Genomic DNA, 23,059 nt, shown 5'->3' with positions numbered 1-23,059 from the left:
TTTCACTTTCCATTTGCCACAGATAGTCCTCTGCATGGGGTATCTCACAGGCGAGATCCACTTTCAGCACAGTAATTGTGCATTGAGGACCTTTCTGTACCAAAAGATTAGCCTACTGAAGGGTCATGTTGGATATCTCTTAGATTCCCCAGTCCTTTTTTCTTTTGACTCTTTTGAATCAGAATGTTAAATTTCATGAAATAAATTAGCTACCACCTACAAAGTTTTCTCTCCAAGTCACACACAATGAGTGAATATGTGCTACGCTGTATCTGTGTGAAAGAGAATAAACAAGAGAGTTAGTCCAAATTATTGCCCAAACCTGCACCAAATGGTCTTGCAAAATGCTGTTTCCATAAAGCTTTGAACATTTCATTCTTCTAGTACATCTTGTTTTTCATTGACTAGCAAATTAAGCCTGAACTAGTTAGACAGGCAGCAATGACTCCCATTTTCCTGTCTTCTAAGAATATAATCCTTTTGAAGATAATCTGCAAGGACAAAATTACTATTTGACAAAATTTCTTAATTCTGTGTCTAATAAGCCTAATAATAAAGCTGTTTGTGAAGGAAAATAGTCATGAAAATTTATGCTCCTTTTTATACCAACATCTGAAACAAAGTGGACTTCGAGATACAGAAAAGTTACTGCTCCACCTGCCCATAATTCCATATCCTAAATGTTGCCCGGGAGTCAAATAGCCTCTAAGTAAGGCACCTTTTGATTCTTTTCTTTACAAAGGCCCCTTTCAGGCTTTACTCAGATGTAGAACATGCCACAAATCTCCCCATTCCTCATTACTTATCCCTTCCAGAGTCTGAGGCTCTGTCTCTGGAGATCTCAATCCTGGGACCAGTGGGGGCAATTAACGTGCATTATGCAGGCTTGAGTATGTTTCATCTTCAGAGATAATCATATTGGAGACAAAAACTACATAATATGCATACACGCTCATGTGCAGTCACACACACACTTACACACACACAGATCAGGCTGTTAACATAGCAGTATTCCTTCCAGAGTTTCCTCTCCTAATCTTAATAAATTATCTTTGCGCTAACAAACTTTTTCTGCCATGAGAGGCACCATTACCTTCAAATTTTGTTAATCTCAGAAACTGAGAAGAAAAAAAAAATTCTGGGTCTAAACAGTTTAATAACAAATAAACAAAGGTACCACACTTGGCAGATAAAAAATGACTTTTTGTCTATGTGTCTGTGCAGTTAAAACAGATTTAGATTCCCCATTGGGACAAAAGGAAAAACACACAAAAAAAGGAAGGAGGTTCTTTTGAAAAACATACTCCCTTGCTCCAAATATGTAACAATTTTTTTTCTCTTTTTAAATTCACTACACAAACTCTGTGATGAGGTAAGAAAAGCGACGAGGGCTCTTCCTGCTTTTTTTCTTAAACCATTAAAGTAAAACCCGTAATTTTCTACAGAGTACAACACAAGTTCACACAAAAAAGACATTTTCTTTTGCAAATCAAAACAGGAAAGAAAGGAAAAGCTCAAACAAGGTGAAGGAAAAGCATTTCTACAGCTGAATCACGACTGAGTTGATCAAAGCCCATTGTTGCTGCACAACAGACTGTGCGTTTGGTCACAGCGGCAATTTTTTTTTCTCTTCACATTGTGAAATCACTTTACATTGTTTTCTAGTAGAAAAGGCAAAAAATTGTACAAAACCCCTAGTGTTAAATACGTTTGTACCAATAAAACACTCACACAGGTTTGTCTCCAAAATGTCAAGTTTCTTTTTCTTTGCTTTTTAAATTATTCACAAGACCCAAAATTTTTCATCCATGTTGCCCAATTGGCAGTTTGAAGATCTTGCCCACTAAATCCAGAAGGATCTTATGCCCAGAAATCCACAGAGCTACCCATCTTTATTTCTTATAAACTCTTTTTCTCCACATATAGATCAAACAAGGTAGATGTTAGTCAACCCAGAAGTTAAGATATCAATTGTGTGAAAAAGACAAATCCATTTCCTCTTTTTCAAGTGTAGATCACATTTCTGGGTCCCCTTTGGAGTTAGGTGTGGTCATGTGACCGAGTTCTAGTTCAGAGAAAACAATTAAAACTGCTGTGCAACACTTCAGGCCCTACCCATATAAGGGCCTTGATGATTTTTGATACCATTGAGCACAATGACATTGAAAGACATTTATGAAGATGATGAAGTCAAAGAGAAGTCCTGAATTCCAGAATCAGCACTTGAAGAACCTGCCAATCAGGAGCACCCATTCAGATTTTAAGTGAGCAATAAACTTCTTTTGGCCCAGCATGCTGGCTCATGCCTGTAATCTCAGCACTCTGGGAGGCCGAGGTGTGTGGATCATTTAAGGTCAGGAGTTCGAGACCAGCCTGGCCAACATAGCAAAACCCTGTCTCTACTAAAAAATACAAAAATTAGCTGGGTGTGGTGGCACACACCTGTAATCCCAGCTACTCGGGAGGCTGAGGCAGGAGACTTGCTCGAACCCAGGAGGCAGAGGTTGCAATGAGCCAAGATTGCGCCACTGCACTCCAACCTGGGTGACAGCGAGACTCCGTCTCAAAAAAATAAAGAAAGAAATAAACTTATTTCATGTTTGATCCACTTTAAAAAAATTGTTTGGAGAAGAAAGTGACCAATTGAAACCAACATTTTTACATTTTGAAGAATGTATTAAAAAAGCAATTTGTGAATGGCTGTATCAACATATAATTCAGTGGGCTTATTCCCTTCAAAGACTCAATTCTGAAATAACAGGAATAAATTACGGAAATAATTTCTGGAGACTGAACAATTACTAGGAAGGAATAGAAAGTGAGTGTTAGTGGATACATTTACCACAAGATCACCATTAGGTTGTATTTGAATTTGAATATGATTTCCTTTGAAATATATGATCTTGTGCCTATCTACATTCACGGCAAGCACAATCCTTCCTTTAGCTTGAGCCAAAACCTGTGGGGCAGAAATAAGAAAAACCTTTAGCAGTAGGAAGCAGTGTGGAGTTTTTTAGTTTTTTGAATGCAAAGGTTTACAGAGACCTGAGGACCTTGAATTAAGTGAACATAGTTACAGGGGGAAAAAATAGTAAGAACTATCCCTACCATCAGCATTCAATTAACAGTAGTGAGAAAATACAGCTGTAAACCCAGTTGCAGAAAGTTGAGGATAGGACAAATTCAGAAGCTCTTAAAATCCTGGTAAGTAGAATTAAATTTAATTTAAAGCCAGCCATGGAAATTAAAAGATATAATTAAAGTTTAATTAAAATGTAGAGCGTTTAAGACTTTATGTGAGTGGTATATCACTTTCTTAGATGCTATAAAATTAAATTAGAAATATTGATAGAAAACATGTTCTTGAAAATATTATTTTGCTGCCCTGTTTCAGGTATCTCTATGTCTATAAATTCAATCCCTGTCTTCCATGGGTTTGCTAATGCTGGTCTTTCTGCCCATATGCCCTCACTTTCTATCTCTGCAGTAAAATGTCACCATCCTTCTTAGGCAAATCACACACTAGCTCTTACAACTTCCATCTGAAAATTGCATGCCATTACATCTATTCAGAAATCGATAGGCAAATCAGGGTAGTCTTTTGGTCACACCTAATTTCCAAGTGTCAGGGAGGTACAATTCTATCATGCACTCAGGAGGAAAAACAAAATACTGGTGAACAGAGTAACAACTACAACATTTAAGCTTCCTTTGTTCTTCATGTAAGCATATGATTAAACCTTTATTAAAAGAATGTAAAACAACTATATGTTTAAATTAACTATAATACTTTAAGCTCTTTGATGCAAAGATCTTTTCTTGCCTTTTGTCTTTTTACCTTAGAAAGCCCACAGGACCATGGGTTCTTACTTTGTATCTAATAAATTTTTTAAAAATTTTCCTTCAGTCAAAAATTCACTGAGTGAAGATGAGTACTATATACAACCTCTTCCAGGATACCCCTTTCTGGATATTGGTCATGCATACACTGCATACACTCAACACCATTGCCAAAATTTTGACAACTTGCCCTCAGAAAGATTAGCTACTTTGTTAAATTTTGATTCTTCCCTTTTTTTAATTTAGTTTCTACCCTTGAATCACAGGATTTCACACATACATTGCTATACATATCAGAGTTCAGTACAAGATAGAAAAACAACTCCAAATATTTTAAGCAGAAAGAAATTTAACAGGGAATTAATGCTTGATTAACTCTTTTTCCTTGTTATTCATAGTCATCCTTAGAGAGGTAGCATAATTTTACCACATTAGGATAATCTGCACTTTCGGTGTCTTGTCTTTCAATATCTTAAATGTTTCAAAATGTTCTGTACTATACATTTGATGATATTTATCATACATGGTATCATTAATTGATTCAATCCTTGAGTCAATAAATATTTGTGAAATAACTACTATTCACCAGACACTTTTTTCACTCACTCTTGATATCACAGTAAGGAAATCTGCCTCCAAAAAGTAATTAATTTGTGACATAGCAAACCCCAGAAGGGAAAATTTGAGGTAACACAATGAGTTCACTTGTACACATGGTCAACTATGTGTCACTGAGATATCCAAGTAAAGACAACCAGTCAGCGATTGGACAGAAAAGTCTCAAGCTCAGGAGAGGGTAATAGATATATTAGATATTAGAAGCTGCTAGCACAGAAAGGGCATTTGGACCTGAAGTGGGTATATACTTCCTAAGAAATACTGCCTAAGAAATATGTATGAGAAAAGAGCAGAGTGTCTAACGTCAAGCCACCAGCAATGCCATAATAAGCACAAATAAATATATAGTGGATAGGTGGAGAAGCAAAATACCAAAAAAGAAACAGGAAAAGTAAATAAAGAGGGAAAAAAAAACAGAAGAAAATAAGCAAAGAAAATGGGATTTTCTTTGAATTTTCATTTAGAGAGTTGTCAGTCTGGTCAAACACTGCTAAAAAGTCAAACAATTCACGAACTTACAAGTAACCATTTGATTTAGGTACATAGAAATCACTGGTGACTTTGGCAAAATTTCAGAGACATTGTGGAGAAGGAAACCAGATTGCTGTAGGCTGAGGAGTGAAGTGACAATGAGAGATACAGAGAACCGGTATAGACATGGGGCTTGGCTAAAGGAGAGGAGAGAGATGAAAACTGAAGGGGGATGTTAGATCAAGGAAGAATTATGTTTTTGTTTTTGTAAGGTAAGGTTGAGCAGGGAAAGGAGAGAAAGGTGGTAAGCAAAGGTACTCGCTCCCTGTAACTGTGGTAGAGGATGGAATACAGAATGTGAAGGGGGAGATTTCAATTTGAACAAAAGGGTAAGAATCTCTTTTATTGCTTATAGGAAGAAATGAAAAGAATGTGAGGACAGATTTTTTTACTTTAGTATGTTCCAATCATCAATAACAATCTTCCTGTGTTAAACTATTGGTTTGTCTTAAGTGATGTCCTAAGTGAAACACACAGTACACTAGCTTTGCCTTCAAAGCTTTCTTTTACTTAAGTAATCCAGCCACATAGAAAAAAATAAATATTGAATAGTATTTTTAGACAGTAAGATAGCTCTCCCACCCAAGACCCTCAGTTCTTCTAAAAGAAAACTGCTATTCCTAAGTCACATATAGATAATCAGTGCATTTACAAATATGTGTATAAACACATGGCTTTGGGCATTTAATTTTTAATTTACATAATGCATAATATTAACAGGTAATAGTTTTACATATTTACAAGGTACACGTGTTATTTTGATACAGGTATATAGTATGTAGTGACCAAATCAAGGTAATTGGGATATCTGTCACCTCAATCATTTATCATTACTTTGTAAGCACGTTTTTAAATAAATTATAGCGTACTAATCACACATTTCTGTACTTTATTTCACTTAGAACTACTTCTTGGACATATTGCTTCTTATCAAAATGTATACATCTATCTTAATTCTTAATGGCTGTGTAGTTTTTCATTCTCTAAATGTAACATGATTTATTGATTCAGTCACCTATTAATAGACGTATTTGTTTCCAAGATTCAGCTATGACAAATAATGCTGAAAGCTTATTAATTTATGTAGAAATTTGCAAAATACACAATATCTGAAAGAAATATTCTGAAAGTGAAAATGCTGAGTCATAAACTGTGCACTTTTTTTTTTTTTTTTTTGAGACAGAGTCTCTCTCTGCCACCCAGGCTGGAATACAGTGGCATGATTTCAGCTCACTGCAACCTCCACCTCCCGGGTTCAAGCGATTCTCCTGCCTCAGCCTCCTGAATAGCTGGGACTACAGGCACCTGCCATCACACCCGGCTCATTTTTGCATTTTTAGTAGAGATGGGATTTCACCATGTTGGCCAGGCGGGCCTCAAACTCCTGACCTGAAGTGATCCACCCACCTCGGCCTCCCAAAGTGCAGGGATTATAGGCGTGAGCCACCACACCTGGCCTAAGTGTGCACACTTTAAATTTTGGTCAATATGGCCACATTTTCCTCCAAAGAGGTGTCAGTGCTTTCCTCATTACTGTTGCTTTTCTCTCTATCCTTGGCACCAAGGCCTAGCTTTTCACAAGTTCTTCAAAATGAGCTTCACAAATTATTTTAGCCACAATGTTTTATGGCTTCATTATGGTGATATGAATACTGTCCATATCAGTGACATTAATTACTGTCAGTTGAGAGAATACGGTACATATTCTTGAAGTAAGACTCTTTCATCAAAGGTGACCCAATGTCTACCCTTTAAATCTATATTGTACACACTTAATAATATAAGGTCAGTGACCACATGAAATAAAGATATGGAGTAGGAGAAGGCTGCAACAGCTACCCACAATGCATTATAGAACAAACCTAGCACTGCCACTATTTCAATATGGGCATAGATGGGATATATGATTCTTCAGAACTCACTAGATCTGTTACCAGGCTAACCAGTTATTCCCCATAAAACTCATGACTTCTTACAAATCATTTGCTGGAAAATTTTTATATCCTAATTTCCTGAGATGGGCTCTACATTGTGGCAGATGGCTTTTTGACCTCTTAACTGTACACTCAAATTTTATCTGGCTTGTAAAAGCTCTATGACATTTAGCACAGACTGTATCATACATTCTATATGCAATAGAAAAAAGGTTCCCAAGGATATAAGCTATAAACAAAGCGCTTGTAGTAGTGTAATATAAGGGAGTAATAGTTGTTGCTATCGTTATTTTTTAATTTTAATTGACATACTAATTATACATATTTATGGGATAAAATATGATGCTTCAATACATGTATACATTGTGTAATGATCAAATGAAGGTAATTAGCATATCCATCACCTCAAACATTTATAATTTTTGCTGTGAGAACAGCAAAGAGATACATTCTGGTTGAACTTGCTACAGAATAGTAACAACTGATGTGCTTCTGCTAGTCTTTTTTTTTTTTTTTTTTTTTGAGACAGAGTCTCACTCTGTTGCCTAGGCTGGAGTGCAGTGGCACGATCTCAGCTCACTGCAACCTCTGCCTCCTGGGTTCAAGCAATTCTCCTGCCTCAGCCTCCTGAGTAGCTGGGATTACAGGTGCCAGCCACCATGCCTGGTTAATTTATATTTTTGTAGAGACAGGGTTTCATCAAGTTGGACAGGCTGGTCTTGAACTCCTGACCTCATGATCCACCTGCCTTGGCCTCCCAAAGTGCTGGGATTACAGGCGTGAGCCACTATGCCTGGCCAACTTCTGCTAGTCTTTTTGCAGTTTGCCTATTTAGTTATCTATGATCTCCTCTACTTGCATAACTTACCATGAACTAACTTAAGAGCATTCTATGTCAACTAACCTTAGTAACTTTCCCTTGTCTGATGCGTTAAATTTCCTTTCCAATCAATGTGATTGACTCAACATCACACGGTTCAGCAGTTACTAAAATGCACCAAAGAGTTACTACAAGACTGTAATTTAAACCCAGGCAGGCAATTTCAAAAAGCTGTACCTGGTAGCTTTTCTGCAAAGTGGTTGTGACCCAGATGTTCTATCTATGTGAAGGCAGCTCAACAATATTTCTATGAAAAAGGCATTAGCGAACAACCTGACACGTTATCTCAAGAGATACACTATCATTCTACTGTTATACTGGGTACACTTTTGCATTGTCAATAGCTCCCATGATTAAAAGAGAGAATTAATGACAGACATCTTGATTCATACTTTATTTCAATCATCTCACTTGATCCTTCAAACCCTATGGTATTATGTATTTTTTCATTGTAGAAATTAATGCTCAGAAATAAATAGCGCACTACAAAATGCCATAATTGAAACCCAAGCTTGCCAGCGTCTAAAGCCCATTCTTCTACCATGATACCATGGTGCTTTTTTCAAGCGATATGGCTTTTCCCTCTCCTCTAATGACTTTTTTATTCACCTCTCCACCTTGGCTTTATGGCGTGCGCGCACTCACACACATACACACACACACACACACACACACAGAGCTTAGGTTAGCTCATCATTATTTCTTTAGTACCTGTTATTTGATTTTTTGCCAACCAGGCACCAGACTTAATTTTTTATATTGCATATAGTTTGCTAAATAAGGGACATGTAGTAATAAAATAATATCCCAGAGGACATTTTCACATTTTACTTGCTGTTTCTCTTTCAAAATTTCCAACTTTAGAAGAGGCAAACAGCCATAGGCTCTGGATATAATAGCTTCAGCTGCAAATAAAAAAATTGTCTTTCTGGATGGAAGGTGTGAAAAGGACTATTATTGCATCAGTCTCTCAGCTACTCTCCCACAGAACATTGCGGTCTGTTCAAACGAATGAGGACAGTAGTGAATAAACCAGTCTTTTAAACTTGTGTAAGATTTTCCATACCTGGGTTTCAGATCATTTTAGAGGCAAGTATTAATTTATTCTTTTTTCTCCTAATTTTTCATATGGACAAATTTAGGCACAGAGGAGATAATGAACTTGGCAGAGAATCAGGAGCAAAACATTGATGGAAAATGATGCTGATTTAAATGTTTCCTGCTTGCATTTCTCATAATGAAAGCACAGCCATATTGTGACACTTGTTATTTTATGGTTCACTGAAGAGCCGCAATAACAAATTTTAAATACCTATCAAATGTCATAAAATGTCATTTAATATTGTTCTTCGTTTGTTAAAGGGAAAATGAAAACTGATAAAGTTCATGTATATTTTGTGCTAGTTCAATAAACTAAATACCATACTCTAAGACTTTCAGCAAACATACAGTCAATTGTAATATGGTAATATTAAATAAGAGGGTACTACACTTTTTCAAGAGAAAGTGGTCTTATTAAAAAGGTTATTTTAATGATGCTCTAAACAATTTCTTTGGCTGCATCACAGCATAGGTTCAGTTCATAATAAAAGTTGCCTTTGAACGAAGTATTCTAAATTTTTACAAGACTCCAATTCTCCTGTGCAATTACGGAATTTGAAATGTAATTCTCCTGGAACCATAAAAGAATTAAGACCAGAGAACTGCTGTTAAGAATAAAGCAAGATAAAAAGGAATTGCTTCAAAGACCCTTTTTATTCTTCTATTTTTTAGTGCCACGTTATATTCCAAGTCACTATGTTGTTATGGAAAAGGACAATGAGAAAATCCACTCTAGACAATTGAACATTTCTAGAATGTTGACTCAGGGCTATTTTTCTCTTGATAATTATGTATTAATTCAATATGGACATCTGTATGTGAAATCCTCAAAGAATTTCCAGAAGAATGGATGATATATCAATGCACAACTGTTTGGCATTGGCTTATTGTGGACTCAGCACTGTGTTAGGCACAATGGCTCAGGCAAATTGTTTGGGAACATGGCCCCTGCTCTAGATCTGCATGGCATTTGTTTATCATTTGAACTGAGATGTGGTTATTACAACTTAACTTCTATCTCTATTTCACATTCCATTAATCATCAAGTACTATAGATTCTATCACCTTCATAATCTTTCAAATCTGCCCATTTTACTACATGTGCAATACCACTGTTAATGATGATCACAATAAGCTCCTAACCATCCTCTTTGTCTTCAATCCTATCCACTTTAATTCATTCTGAACAACAGTTTGGAAATAAAATTGTGAGTGTATCACCCCTCCATTTTAAACTGTTCCAGAGTATTTTCATTTAACTCCTGCCACAGTTTAAGCCCATCAGCATAACCAGGCAAGGTCCTCCGTAAGCTGACCCTTCTTAAACTTCTAGCTTAGAATTTTTACTCCTTCTGCAAATATTTCATCCAAATTAAATATCATGTAGTTTCCTAAGAGAGATTCTTCTCTCTTCTTCTCCCAAGTCCTTTTTTATTTCCTCCTTTTAGAGCGTACTTCCTCTCACCTTTCACCTGACTCATGTTACCAGTCTGTTGAGACTTAGTTCAGAAATCACATCTTTCATTTTGTCTTTCCCCACCCTCTCCTCTCCTATGAATTAAGTCTTGCTTCTATGTAAACAATTAGCTTAGATATTTATAACTGATGCTGTACTTATATGGTTCTGTTGTCTTCCATGAACATGTGTTAGATCTTTGAAGACAAATATATGTTATTCATCTTATGAAATTTGTCCTACACAGAATTTGGCACATGGTTATCCATTCAAATGTTTGTGGAATAAATATGAATAAACTCAAAATAAAGAGAACATATATTAATTTTGTCCTAATTTGCAAAATTCTCCATTTTATTTCCCTCACTGCAAACTATCCCCACTGACAGAATTGGTATCTGATTTCATAGTGTTGATTTCTAACATTTTTAAACAAAAAACTATGTTTCAATTATAAATCATGTATTTAGGTAAGAATCCTTGCTTCATCAACTATAAGAACATAAATTCTAAGACATTTTCTCTACTGAGATGTTAAAATGTAGGGAGAAATGTGTGTTTTATAATTAACGAAATAAAATTCCTTAAGGTCTTACCATATGCTTGGCCCCATGCTGTGTTTTATATTAATTAGTTCTCTTAATCTTCACCACAGTCCTATGAGGAGGGTATTTTTATTATTCTCATTCTAAAAGTTAATAAAATAAGTTCAAAAGAAAGGTAATTTTCCCAAAGTTACCCAGATTATAAGTGGCAATTGTAGGATTTATCTCTATCTTACTCTACTGTCTGAAACATTCTCGATATTCCTTTTTTGGGTTCAGTACTAAGAAAAAACTATAGAAAATAACATTACTGGTCCTCATTTTAGAATATTCTTTCCTTGGGTTCATCATACACACACGTGCACACATAAACACAAACATACACAGTAATTGTAAAAAGTGTGGTAATTTCTTTAAATTTTGTTAAAATACCTCCCGAGAAAAATGGAGACAAGTAGGGGAGAGAATCTCAGAGCTTGAAGACTATCTTTCTGAAATAAAACAGGCAGGAAACAATAGAGATAAAAGAATAAAAAAGACTAAACAAAATCTCCAAGAAATATGGGATTATGTAAAGAGACAGAACCTACGACTGATTGGGGTACCTCAAAGAGATGGGGAGAATGGAATCGAGTTGGAAAACATACTTTAGGATATCATCCAGGAGAACTTCCCCAACCTAGCAAGACAGGCCAACATTTAAATTCAAGAAATTCAGAGAACTCCAGTAGGACACTCCATGAGAAGATCAATCCCAGGACACATAATGATCAGATTCTCCAAGGTTGAAATGAAAGAAAGAATGTTAAGGGCAGCCAGAGAGAAAGTCCAGGTCACCTACAAAGGGAAAGCCATAAGAGTAACAGTGGACCTCTCAGTGGAAACCCTCCAAGCCAGAAGAGATTGGGGGCCAATATTCAACATTCTTGAAGAAAATAATTTCCAGCCTAGAGCTTCATATCTGGTCAAACTAAGCTTCCTAAGCTAAAGAGAAATAAGATCCTTTACAAACAAGCAAATCCTGAGGGAATTTGTCACCCTCAGGCCTGCCTTGTAAGAGCTCCTGAAAGAAGCACTGAAAATTGAAAGAAAAAATTGTTACCAGCCACTACAAAAACACACTGAAATACACAGACCAGGGACACTATGAAGCAACCACATGCACAATTCTGCAAAATGACCAGCTAGCATCATGATGACAGGATCAAATTCACACATAACAATACTAACTTTAAATGTAAATGGGCTTAATGCCTCAATTAAAAGACACAGAAAGGCAAGCTGGATAAAAGGCCAAGACCCATCACTATGCTGCCTTGAAAAGAGCCATCTGACGTGCAAATACACACATAGGCTCAAAATAAAGGGAAGGAGGAAAATTTACCAAGCAAATAGAAATCAAAGAAGGGGTTGCAATCCTAGTTTCTGACAAAACAGACTTTAAACCAAAAAGATCAGAAAAGACAAGGGCATTACATAATGGTGAAGGGTTCAATTAAGCAAAAAGAGCTAACTCTATTAATCTACATATGCACCCAACATAGGAGCACCCAGATTCATAAAGCAAAGAGTCACAAAGAGACTTAGACTCCCACACAATAATAGTGGAAGACTTTAATACCTCACTGACAATATTAGACAGATCATTGAGACAGAATACTAACAAAGATATTCAGGACCTGAACTCAGCTCTGGATCAAGCAGACCTGATAGATACCTACAGAGCTCTCCAGCTCAAAACAACAGAGTATACATTCTTTTCATCACCACGTGGCACCTTAAAATTGATCATGTAATCAGAAGTAAAACACTCCTCAGCAAATGCAAAAGAATTAAAATCATAACAAACAGTCTCTTAGACGGCAGCACAACCAAATTAGAACTCAAGATTGAGAAATTCACTCAAAGCCACACCATCAAATGGAAATTGAACAACCTGCTCCTGAATGACTCCTAGAAAAATAACGAAATTAAGGCAGAAGTCAAGAAATTCTTTGAAACCAATGAGAACAAAGAGACAATGTACCAGAATCTCTGGGACACAACTACAGCAGTGTTAAGAGCGAAATTTATAGCACTAAATGCCCACATCAGAAAGTGGGAAAGATCTAAAACTGACATTCTAACATCACAATTAAAAGAGCTGGAAAGGCAAGAACAAACAAATTCAAAAGCTAACAGAAAAAAAGAACTAAGATCAGAGCAGAACTGAAGGAGATGCAGAAATAAAAACTCTCCAAAAAATCAATGAATCCAGGAGCTCGTGTTTTGAAAAAAATACACAATCAATAGACCACTAGCTAGACTAATAAAGAAGAAATGAGGGAAGAATCAAATAGACACACAAAAAAATGATTAACTCCACCGAAATACAAACTACCATCAGAGAATACTATAAACACCTCTATGCACATAAACTAGAAAATCTAGAAGAAATGAACAAATTCCTGGACACACACACCTTCCCAAGACTAATTCAGGAAGAAGTTGAATTCCAGAATCGACCAATAACAAGTTCTGAAATTGAGGCAGTAATTAATAGCCTACTGATCAAAAAAAGCCCAAGACCAGGTGGATTCTAGGACGCAAGGCTGGTTCAACATTTGCAAATCAATAAACACAATACATCACATAACCAAAACCAAAGACAAAAACCACATGATTATCTCAATAGATGCAGAAAAGGCCTTTGATAAAATTCAACATCCCTTCATGTTAAAAACTCTCAAACTAGGTATTGGTGAAACACCGCAAAATAATAAGAGCTATTTATGACAAACCCATAGCCAATATATTGAATAGACAGAAATGGTACGATGGACATAATACTATTGCACCCCTACTAGACTACAGTGTAGTATAAACATAAACTTTAGATGCACTGGGAAACCAAACACTTCCGTCTGACTTGCTTTATTGCAGTGGCCTGGAACTGAATCCACGATATCTGAGGTATACCACTATTTGAACTGAATAAAATTGGTAGCTTTCACTTTGTTTTTACTTCTTCAGCAATCATAACAAATTTTGGTGTATTTAAAGTACAGCAAGGTAATTATTATCTTCAAAGAGCCCCTAAATTAGTAGAGAAGAGAATACCTATAAAAATGTAAAAACAATGCTGGTAAATAATGACAAATGGCATAATAAGGGAATAGATCCAATGGTTAAGAATTGCACAAAAATAAAAATCACTCTATTTAGAATTGGAAAAAGCACCAGGAATGGTATCTTATTTTAACAAAATTTGTAAAACTCAAAAGGCTGACATAAGTGATGGGCTCTGGTTATATGAACAGGCTGAGCAAGAGTGGAGTGTAGAAATTTCCCAGAGAACTGAGAAATACTTTTATGACTTGTATGTCAGAGAGTACACAGCAAACATAGCGCAATGTTAAGACTATAGATCTGGAGTGGTTTCTAGCCTCCACTCCTGGTTATTTCCTACTGATTAGCTGTGGGGCATTAATGAAGTCACTTAACATCCCTGAACTGGAGTTTTCTCATAGATGGAATGGGACTAGTGATACAACTGATTTACAACTATTGAGATAGAATTTTTTGTTAGTGGAAGAAAGAGATGGATAGATAAAAAGATGAGATAAGTCTGGGGAAAGAAATCAGGTCTTTTAGAGATGTACATTAGGGATTTAGAACTTCTTGCCATAGGGCATGTAAAATTTAACTTGGATTACATGAACTGGTTAATGCACATGATACAATTATTTAAATTAATTAAATTCAGAAAAATTATTAACTTTTGCTTACTAGATTACCTATGACAATGAACTTTCTGACATTGAAAACGCAAAGATAAGTAATAGCTACAATGTATTTTCAGGTCCCTATATAGTTGATATTTTATTAGATTCTACATGCTACTAGAACATTCAAATAGATACAGTTAAGATAGAGCAATGAGAATAAAACATTTCAAAATCTAATTTCCCTTAACATATTAATTTAACGTGATGTTAAAATATTTTATATAATCAATATCATATAACAAATTTTATAATAAAATATTCTTCGTTATGACAAAACTATTTTTCCTTGACTGGATTTACAAATGGTTGAGAGCAGTTATTTGCCTTTGACTCTTGTGGAGACCACAATCTGCTGGTTTACATTATTTATTTGTTTAGAGACTCATTTCCCTAATTAACTGAACAGAGGCAAACTTCACAGGTTCCAGAAATTAATGATATTTTATTGGCCTAGTAGTCCAGATAAAAAGGGAATTTCTGACAGGATGATTTAGATAATTGTCTCAATTTGCTTCATAGCTTTCTACTTATTGATACATCATTAGAGTTTACCTCGTGTATTCTCACAGGCACAGGTAATCAGTTGAATATATCTATAGGTGATTCAGCCTGTGTTAAGTGCCTCCTCAGTAAAGTATGTGCACATGATTGCATTGTTGAAGGTACATTACCAATAAAGATACCATGAAATTGCAAATCAATTCATAGATTTGTTAAAAACACTGAAACTTTTTCTTAAGAAAAATAGCTTTTTCTGTGTTTTAATTTTTTTCTCAATGATAATGTCAGCGTTAAAAAGATACACTCAGGTGCCTCGATGCTTCCTCTCTGTAAGTTGTATCTTGGTAAGTATTCAGAACAAAAAATAAGCATACAGATTTCTTAAACTTCGTTTTGGTAAAAGCTAACACACAAATACACACACACTAGCCTAGGCCTACACTGGGTCAGGATCATCAACATCAGTCTTCCATCTCCACATCTCGTCCCACTGGAAGGTCTTCCGAAGCAATACCACACATGGAGCTGTCATCTCCCATGGTAACAATGCCTTCTTCTGAAACAGCTCCTGAAGGACCTGCCTCAGGCTATTTTAGTTAACTTTTTTGTTTGTAAGTAGAAGGAATGCATTCTAAAATAATGTCAAAAATCATAGTATACTAAACACATAAACCAGTAACATAGTTGTTCATTATCAACTTTTATGTACTATGTATACTTAAATGTGCTATACTTTTTTTTTTTTTTTGAGACAGAGTCTCGCTCTGTCGCCAAGTCTCGAGTGCAGTGGCGCGATCTCGGCTCACTGCAAGCTCCACCTTCCGGGTTCACCCCATTCTCCTGCCTCAGCCTCCCGAGTAGCTGGGACTACAGGGGCCTGCCACCACCCCTAGCTAATTTTTTCTATTTTTAGTAGAAACGGGGTTTCACCGTGTTAGCCAGGATGGTGTCGATCTCCTGACCTCGTGATCTGCCCGCCTTGGCCCCCCGAAGTGCTGGGATTACAGGTGTGAATCACCACGCCTGGCCTATATGCGCTATACTTTCATAGAACCAGGAGCTCAGTAGGTTTGTTTACGCCATCATCACTACAAACACGTGAGTATTGCGTTGTATTACAAGGTTAAGACGGCTATGCTGTCAGTAGACAATGAGGATTTTTCAGTTTCATTATAATTTTATAGAACTACCCTGATACATGCAGGCCATCACTGGTGAAACCTTGTTATGCAGTGCATGACTGTATTATATTGGAAGAAAGAGTGAGATAATATGCTGACACTCACACCGGGCTCATGCGCCAGTAGGAGGAGGTCGCCCTCCAGAGACTGCAGGAGAAGGGGGAGAACTCCTCCTTGCCCTGGCTGTTCCTCCACCACTTCCACCGAGGCCTGTGGTACAGCACCCGAAGCTTCCTACCCACCCTAGGCCTGGCCGGGCAGGCCCCGCAGCTCTCCTACTCCCTCTTCCCGGCCCCTGGACTTGCGGCTGCTGCCACAACTAGCGCAGATGTCACTATAACCATCGCTGCTGTTGCCCTCAATGCACTGGCCCACCCTACAAAGCTCCTACTACCTGGCCACCGCCGCAGCCCTGCCCCTGCCATGGCCACAGCTGGCCGTCCTCCTACCGCTCTGGTGCGAGGTAGTCTCGGTAGCTGCCACCAACCGCAGCAAGGCGAGCAGCAGCCCCAGGCTATCTGCAAGCTTCCAGCATGTAACTCCTCCTCCTCCTGGCATGGAACAGCTGGACACACACAGCCAAAAAAGCCTAGAGGAGAATGCAGAGACTGATAGCGTTAGAGCCTCACCTTGTCATCCTGGCCACTGGGTGGCAGGGGCCAGTCTCAGTGAAGGCACTCATATCCACCCTCCAAAGTCCAGCCTCTCCTTTTGGCTCAAGCGGGCCAGGAACTGGGACCTGGAGTGGTGACTGGTAACATCACACTGCCTGGCTCCAATCCACAGGAACCGCTGGGCCCACCAGGACTGCGCTCCTTGGGGAACAAAATCAGCAGGAACTCAGACACAGCCAGCCCTCCCACCCAAATGCCGGTTCCCCATCCCAATGCCTCCACCCACAGAGCCCTGTCTCCCCGTGGTGTCCCCGCCACTCCGTGTCCAGCGTGCCTAGGGGTGCCAGGTGGTCTCCGCAACACAGAGCGAAAAGGGCATGGCCCCGGGAACCCCGGCGGGTAAGGGGTCCTTGCCGTGCTCAGGATTACTGCGGAAACGCCGTGCGCTCGCTGCGCTCTAGCAGGAGCAGGAGGAGATCGCCTTTTAGAGTCTGAAATCCAGAAAGAGGAAGAAGGCTCCTTCCTTGGAGACCCTGTTGCTGCAAGCTCTGCCGCCACCAGCAAGGCAGCCCCTGATGGCGCCCCTAATCCGCTGCCTGATGTTGGCTCTGGGATAGCGCCCCCAACACCGCCCCTCGCCGCTGCAATGTAAAACCCAATAGCGCCCCCAACCCATCCCTGCCTCGGACGTCGCAGCACCAGATAACTCCCCCATCCTACCGTCTGCCGTCGGCCATGCAGCCACCGATAGGACCTCCAACTAACCCCCGGCTGCGGGCAGTGATGCCCCGGAGAGCACGGCCACCTGCTCCATGCCGTCAATAGTGCAGCCATGGATCCTTAAGGTCCCCAACCCCCTCCCCACGACGAGCAGTGCAGCCCTACATAGCAGATAGCACCCCCAACTGTCCCCCACCCAGGGGGAATGATGCCCTGGATAGTGCACCCCACCCGCACCCCGCCATGGGCAGTGCAGCCTCCGACAGCACCCCTAACCTGTATACCGCTGCCAAAAATATGGTCCCCGATAGCACACCAACCCAGCCCCCACCACAAACAGTGCAGCAGCTGATAGAGCACCTAACTCGCCCCACCGCCACTGACCACAGTGCAGCCCCCGAACGGTGCCCACAACCCACCCCACCACCCCGCCTGCCACCGGCCGGGTATCACCCCCAAACCGCCCCTTGCTGTGAGGAGTGTATCCCCTAGTAGCGCACCCAAACCTGCCCTCTATCATGGGCAGTCTGGCCCGATAGCGCCCGAAACCGCACCCTCCAAGCACCTACCCGCACCCACCGCTGCCCCGCCCCACCACCAGCAGTGTAGCACCTGATACTGCCTCTAACCTCTCCCCTGCCATGGACATTGCAACCCCACATAGCGCCCCCAACAAGCCCCCACCATGGGCAGTGCAGCCCCAGATAGCATCCCCACCCCGCTGTCGGCAATGAAGCCCGACCAGTAAGCACCCCCACCAGTCCGCACCCTAACCAGCCCTCCCACCACCATGCCGCCGGCAGTGCAACCACAATAGCAGCCCCAACCCGGCCCCTGTCGCGGGCAGTGCAGCACCCAATAGCGCCCCCAACCAGCCCTACTGCTGCCATCAATACAGCCCAAGATAGTGACCCCAACCCGCCCCCCACCAACCCCCCCCCCACCCGCTGCTGAGGGCAGTGCAGCCCCGGATAGCACACCTAAAAGCAGTGACGCCCAAAATAACACTCTAGTACACCCAAAGTAGTGACACCTGGAATAATACCCCAACCAGCCCCCGCCGCGGGCAGCCCTGGATAGCTTACCTACCCCATTGCCTTTCTACACTCTGGCCAGCTGCAGTATCCGTCGCTGCCACCAACCACAGCGAGGCCAGCCAGGGAGGCGAGCCAGCGAGGCCAGCCGCAGTCCTGCAGGCTCTAGCCTCCAGCCTATGGTAGGTGCTTTCTCCTTCTTTCCTTCCTGTAGCCAAGCACGGAGCAGCTGTCACTGCCAGCTGCCTCTCTCCATTGCCACCACACACCATTCAAGGCTCCAGGGCTCCAGGTTCCAGGCTCCAGCCTGCGGCAGCACAATCTGCTGCCGCTTTCTCCAAACTCTGCGGCAGAAGTACAGGTTAACACACGATAGCCTGCAACAGCGCGACGCCCCCTTAGCATACCTTATATACTGGGGGGTTGTGCAGGCCTGGTTCTCGGACTTCACGTTCTGATTGGATGAGAGAAACATCTACGCCTACTCTGATTGGACGTTATTTTCATGTTCTGATTGGATCAGAACAAGTCTTAGGCTAACCAATCAGAACGTGACAATAAAGTCCAATCAGAGTAGGCCTAGTGTTTTCCTCTCATCCAATCAGAACATGTAGTTTATAATCTCGGTATATAAAGCATGTTAAGAGCTAGAGTTGCACTATTCCAGCCTCGTCGGCATCTGACTTCATAGCTGCTCCATTGCCAGCTTGGAGTAGGAGGTGCCAGCCACTGCATGCTGGAGGCTGCAGCCTACCGGGCTGTGGCTGGCCTCCCTGGCTCACCACCTCGCCGGCTTGCCTCGCCTTGCCTCGCTGGCTTGCCTTGCCCGCTGCGGTTGGTGGCAGCGATGGACACTGCAACCGGCCAGAGTGTAGAAAAGCGTCGGGGTAAGTGCGCTATCCAGGGCTGCACTGCCCTTGGCCTGGGACGGGTTGGGGGCCCTATCTCAGGCGTCACTGCCCACCTTGGGTGGCTGGTTAGGTGTGCTATCTGGGGCTGTGCTGCCTGCACCCGGGGGTGGTTTGGGGGCCCTAACCGGGGCTGCACTGCCCCCGGCGGGGAGCCTGTTGGGGAAACTATCCCAGACTGTATTGCTGGCAACAGTGAGGTGGGCTAAGTGTCCTATCCAGGGCTGCACTGCACGGCTGTTGCGGGGGGGTGGTGGTTTCAGGTTGAGGGTGCTATGGGGTGCTGCAATGCCCGTGGTTCGGGGAGGCGGGGCGGTTTGGGTGTGTTGGGTGCGCTATTGCGGGGGGGCTACACTGCTGGTTGCAAGGGGGCAGGGTGGGTTGGGGGCCATATCAGGGGCTGCACTGATTGCTTTAGCTAGGGTTTCCAGTACTATGTTAAATAACAGTGGTGACAGTGGGCATCCTTATCATGTTCCAGATCTTAGAGGAAAAGCTTTCCATTTTTCCCCATTCCATATGATTCTAGCTGTGGGGGTCTCTCATGTGGTTTTTATTGTGTTGCAGTATGTTTCTTCTGTACCCGTTTTTTGAGGATTTGTAGCATGTTCCCCAAATTGAATATACCATTTTTTAAAAAGAGACTGAGTCTTGCTGTTATGTTGCCCAGGCTGGTCTCAAACTTCTGGACTTACGCGATCCTCTTCTGCCTCAGCCTTCAGATAGCTGCAGCTATAAGCATGCACCACCGCACCCAGCTTGAAGGTACTGTATTTTTAATTCCATATTGTCAAGCGTTTAAGATACTTTTCTTTAAAAAATTAATATTAATTCAAAGGAAGAAATTGGCAGAGTGAAAAGACAACCTACAGAATGGGAGAAAATATTTGCAAAGTATGTATCCAGCAGAGGATTAATATCCAGAATATACAAGGAACTCTTGACATCTCAATAGCAAAAAAAAAAAAAAAAAAAGAATCCAACTGAAAAATGGGCAAATGACCTGAATAGATATTTCTTAAAAGATGACAGACACATGACCAACAAATATGTTTTCCTAAAAAGCTCAACATCACTAGTCATCAGGGAAATGCAAATCAAAACCACAATGAGGTGTCATCTCACCCCACTTAGAATGGCTACTATCAAAAAGACAAAAAATAGCAAATGCTGGCAAAGATGTGGAGAAAAGTGAACACTTAAATGGGGCTAGTGGAAATGTAAACTAGTACAGCCACCATGGAGAACAGTGTGGAGGTTCCTCAAAAAACTGCAAATAGAACTATTATATGGTCCAACAATATATTATTGGACATTTATCCAAAGAAAAGGAAATCAGTATATTGACGAGACATCGGCACCCCCGTGTTTATTGCAGCACTATTCACAATAGCCAAGATATGGAATCATCCTAAGTATCTAACAACAGATGAATGCATAAAGAAAATATGGTATACATACACAATGGAATACTATTTAGCCATAAGCAAGAATGAAATCCTGTAGTTTGAGGCACATGGATTGAACTGGAGGACATCATATTAAGTGAAGTAAGCCAGGGACAGAACATTAAGTACTGTGTGTTCTCATTCATTTGTGGAAGCTAAAAAAACGTTGATCTCATAGAGGTAAAAAGTAGAACAGAATACTACAGGCTGGGAAGCATAGGGTGCAGGGATGGTAGAAAGCAATTTGTTAAAGGTTTCAAAATTACAGCTAGATAGGAAGAGCAAGTTCTAGTGTTGTATAGCACTGTAAGATGACTGTAATTAACAACAATATGTTACACAGTTTCAAAGAGTTAGGAGGAGGATGTTGAATGTTCCCAGCACAAAGAAATGATAAATGAGATTATGGATATGCTAATTACCTCGATTTGATCTCTGCAAATCTATGGGAATGTTACTATGTTATTCATAAATACTAATAAATACATCAAAAATTTTAAAATTAATAATGAACAAAAGATAAGGGGCCCTGAACTCTAGCTTTAGGGCTGAATTGTATCCAGTCAGATGGTTTATATGTTATTTAAACTTTCACTTTAAATTTGGAGTGGAAATATGTTTGGAAATCCTTACTTTTAGTATGTTGATTTGTGTGTGTGCGTGAGGTAAATTTGGTTGGCTATTGGCAAATGTACTGGGTAGCTACTTAATGAAACATTTCCTTCCAGTGTTTCAGCTTTCTGATTCTTAGAACATGTGTATATTTAACATAATATGCATTATCACTTTTGAAAGTAGTTATTCTAACACTTATTTGTGCTAAATTAGAATATGAATTTGGGAACTATTACTCTTTTCTATGGTCTGGAATAATTTAAGTAATAGAAATTATCTGATTAGATAGAAATTCATTGTAAAATCATCAAGTTTAGAAGCTCTTAAGATTTCCTTTGACTTTTGCTTTTAGTTTTAAAGAAAAAAATAAATTGACATAATGGAAATTTTCACTATACATCAGGAAGGGAATTCAGTGGAAAAGTAAGCTTCCTACTCCCTCTTGACCTTCAATTTATACTTTTCTTCCTAAGTCAAGTACTGCTACTGGTTTCTTATGCTGTTTCTAGAACTAGCTTATCTATTGTCTACTTAAAATAACTCTTTAATCCTTTTATTTGAGCTGCCTTATGGATCTATGTAGTTTTTCTGTCTCTCTTTAAAATTTTTTATGCGGTAGAATACATATAACATAAAATTTACCATCTTAGCCATTTTTAAGTACACAGTTTAGTAGCACTATCTTTCACATTGTTGTGCAACCAATCTCCAAAACCTTTTCATCGTGCAAAACAAATTCTGTGTCTATTCAACTGCTCTCCATTCTTTCCTACCTGCAACTCCTGCAACCATCCTTCTACTTTCTGTCTCTCTGAATTTCACTATGTCACATAAGTGGAATCATACAGTATTTGTCTTTTTGACATGGGCTTATTTTACTTAGCATAATGTCCTCCAGTTCCATTCATGTTGCCTTGAAAGGCAGGATTTCATTCTTTATGGCTGAAATAGTGTTCATCTTGTTGTAGCATGTCAGGATTTCCTTCCTCTTGAAAGCTGAATGATATCGTATGTATATACCAACATTTTGTTGATCTAAATGTATCTGCCAATGGATTTTTCGGTTGTTTCCACCTTTTGACTATTATAAATAATGCTACTGTGAACATGGGTGTGCCAGTAACTTCAAGGCCCTGCTTTCATTCTTCCGAATATACATCCAGAAGCGGAATTGCTGGATCATATGGTTATTCTATTTTTAATTTTTTGAAGAATTTCTATTATTTTTAAAGTCACTTTTCATGGTTTGTTCTTTCCTACAAAACATGTTTTTCAATTTTATCAGTGCAGAGTTGTATATAATATTTATATATTTTACTTGTACAATTAAAGGCTGTATTTTATTTCTATATTATCATATAATTAC

General features: G+C 39.8%; 1 long non-coding RNA gene and 1 other non-coding gene across 2 annotated transcripts in view; both read right to left on the bottom strand.

Annotated features, from left to right (window-relative positions):
- LINC01193 (long intergenic non-protein coding RNA 1193) overlaps window positions 1-19,106 on the bottom strand; it is a 52,867-nt gene extending 33,761 nt beyond the window's left edge. The window contains exons 1-2 of the long non-coding RNA NR_040094.1: window positions 18,778-19,106; window positions 16,984-17,169 (exon numbers count right to left, since the gene is read on the bottom strand). This is a non-coding gene — a long non-coding RNA (long intergenic non-protein coding RNA 1193). The remainder of the gene's footprint in view (window positions 1-16,983; window positions 17,170-18,777) is intronic.
- Window positions 19,107-19,210: 104 nt separating this feature from the next.
- Window positions 19,211-19,292, bottom strand: MIR5701-1 (microRNA 5701-1). The gene has a single exon (NR_049886.1). It is a non-coding gene; the product is annotated as a microRNA 5701-1 (primary transcript).
- Window positions 19,293-23,059: the final 3,767 nt, after the last annotated feature.

The sequence above is a fragment of the Homo sapiens genome, chromosome 15 (genome assembly GCF_000001405.40).
Source record: "Homo sapiens chromosome 15, GRCh38.p14 Primary Assembly".
In the NCBI taxonomy this organism is placed as follows: domain Eukaryota; kingdom Metazoa; phylum Chordata; class Mammalia; order Primates; family Hominidae; genus Homo; species Homo sapiens.
This window is presented reverse-complemented; position numbering and strand designations above follow the sequence as displayed.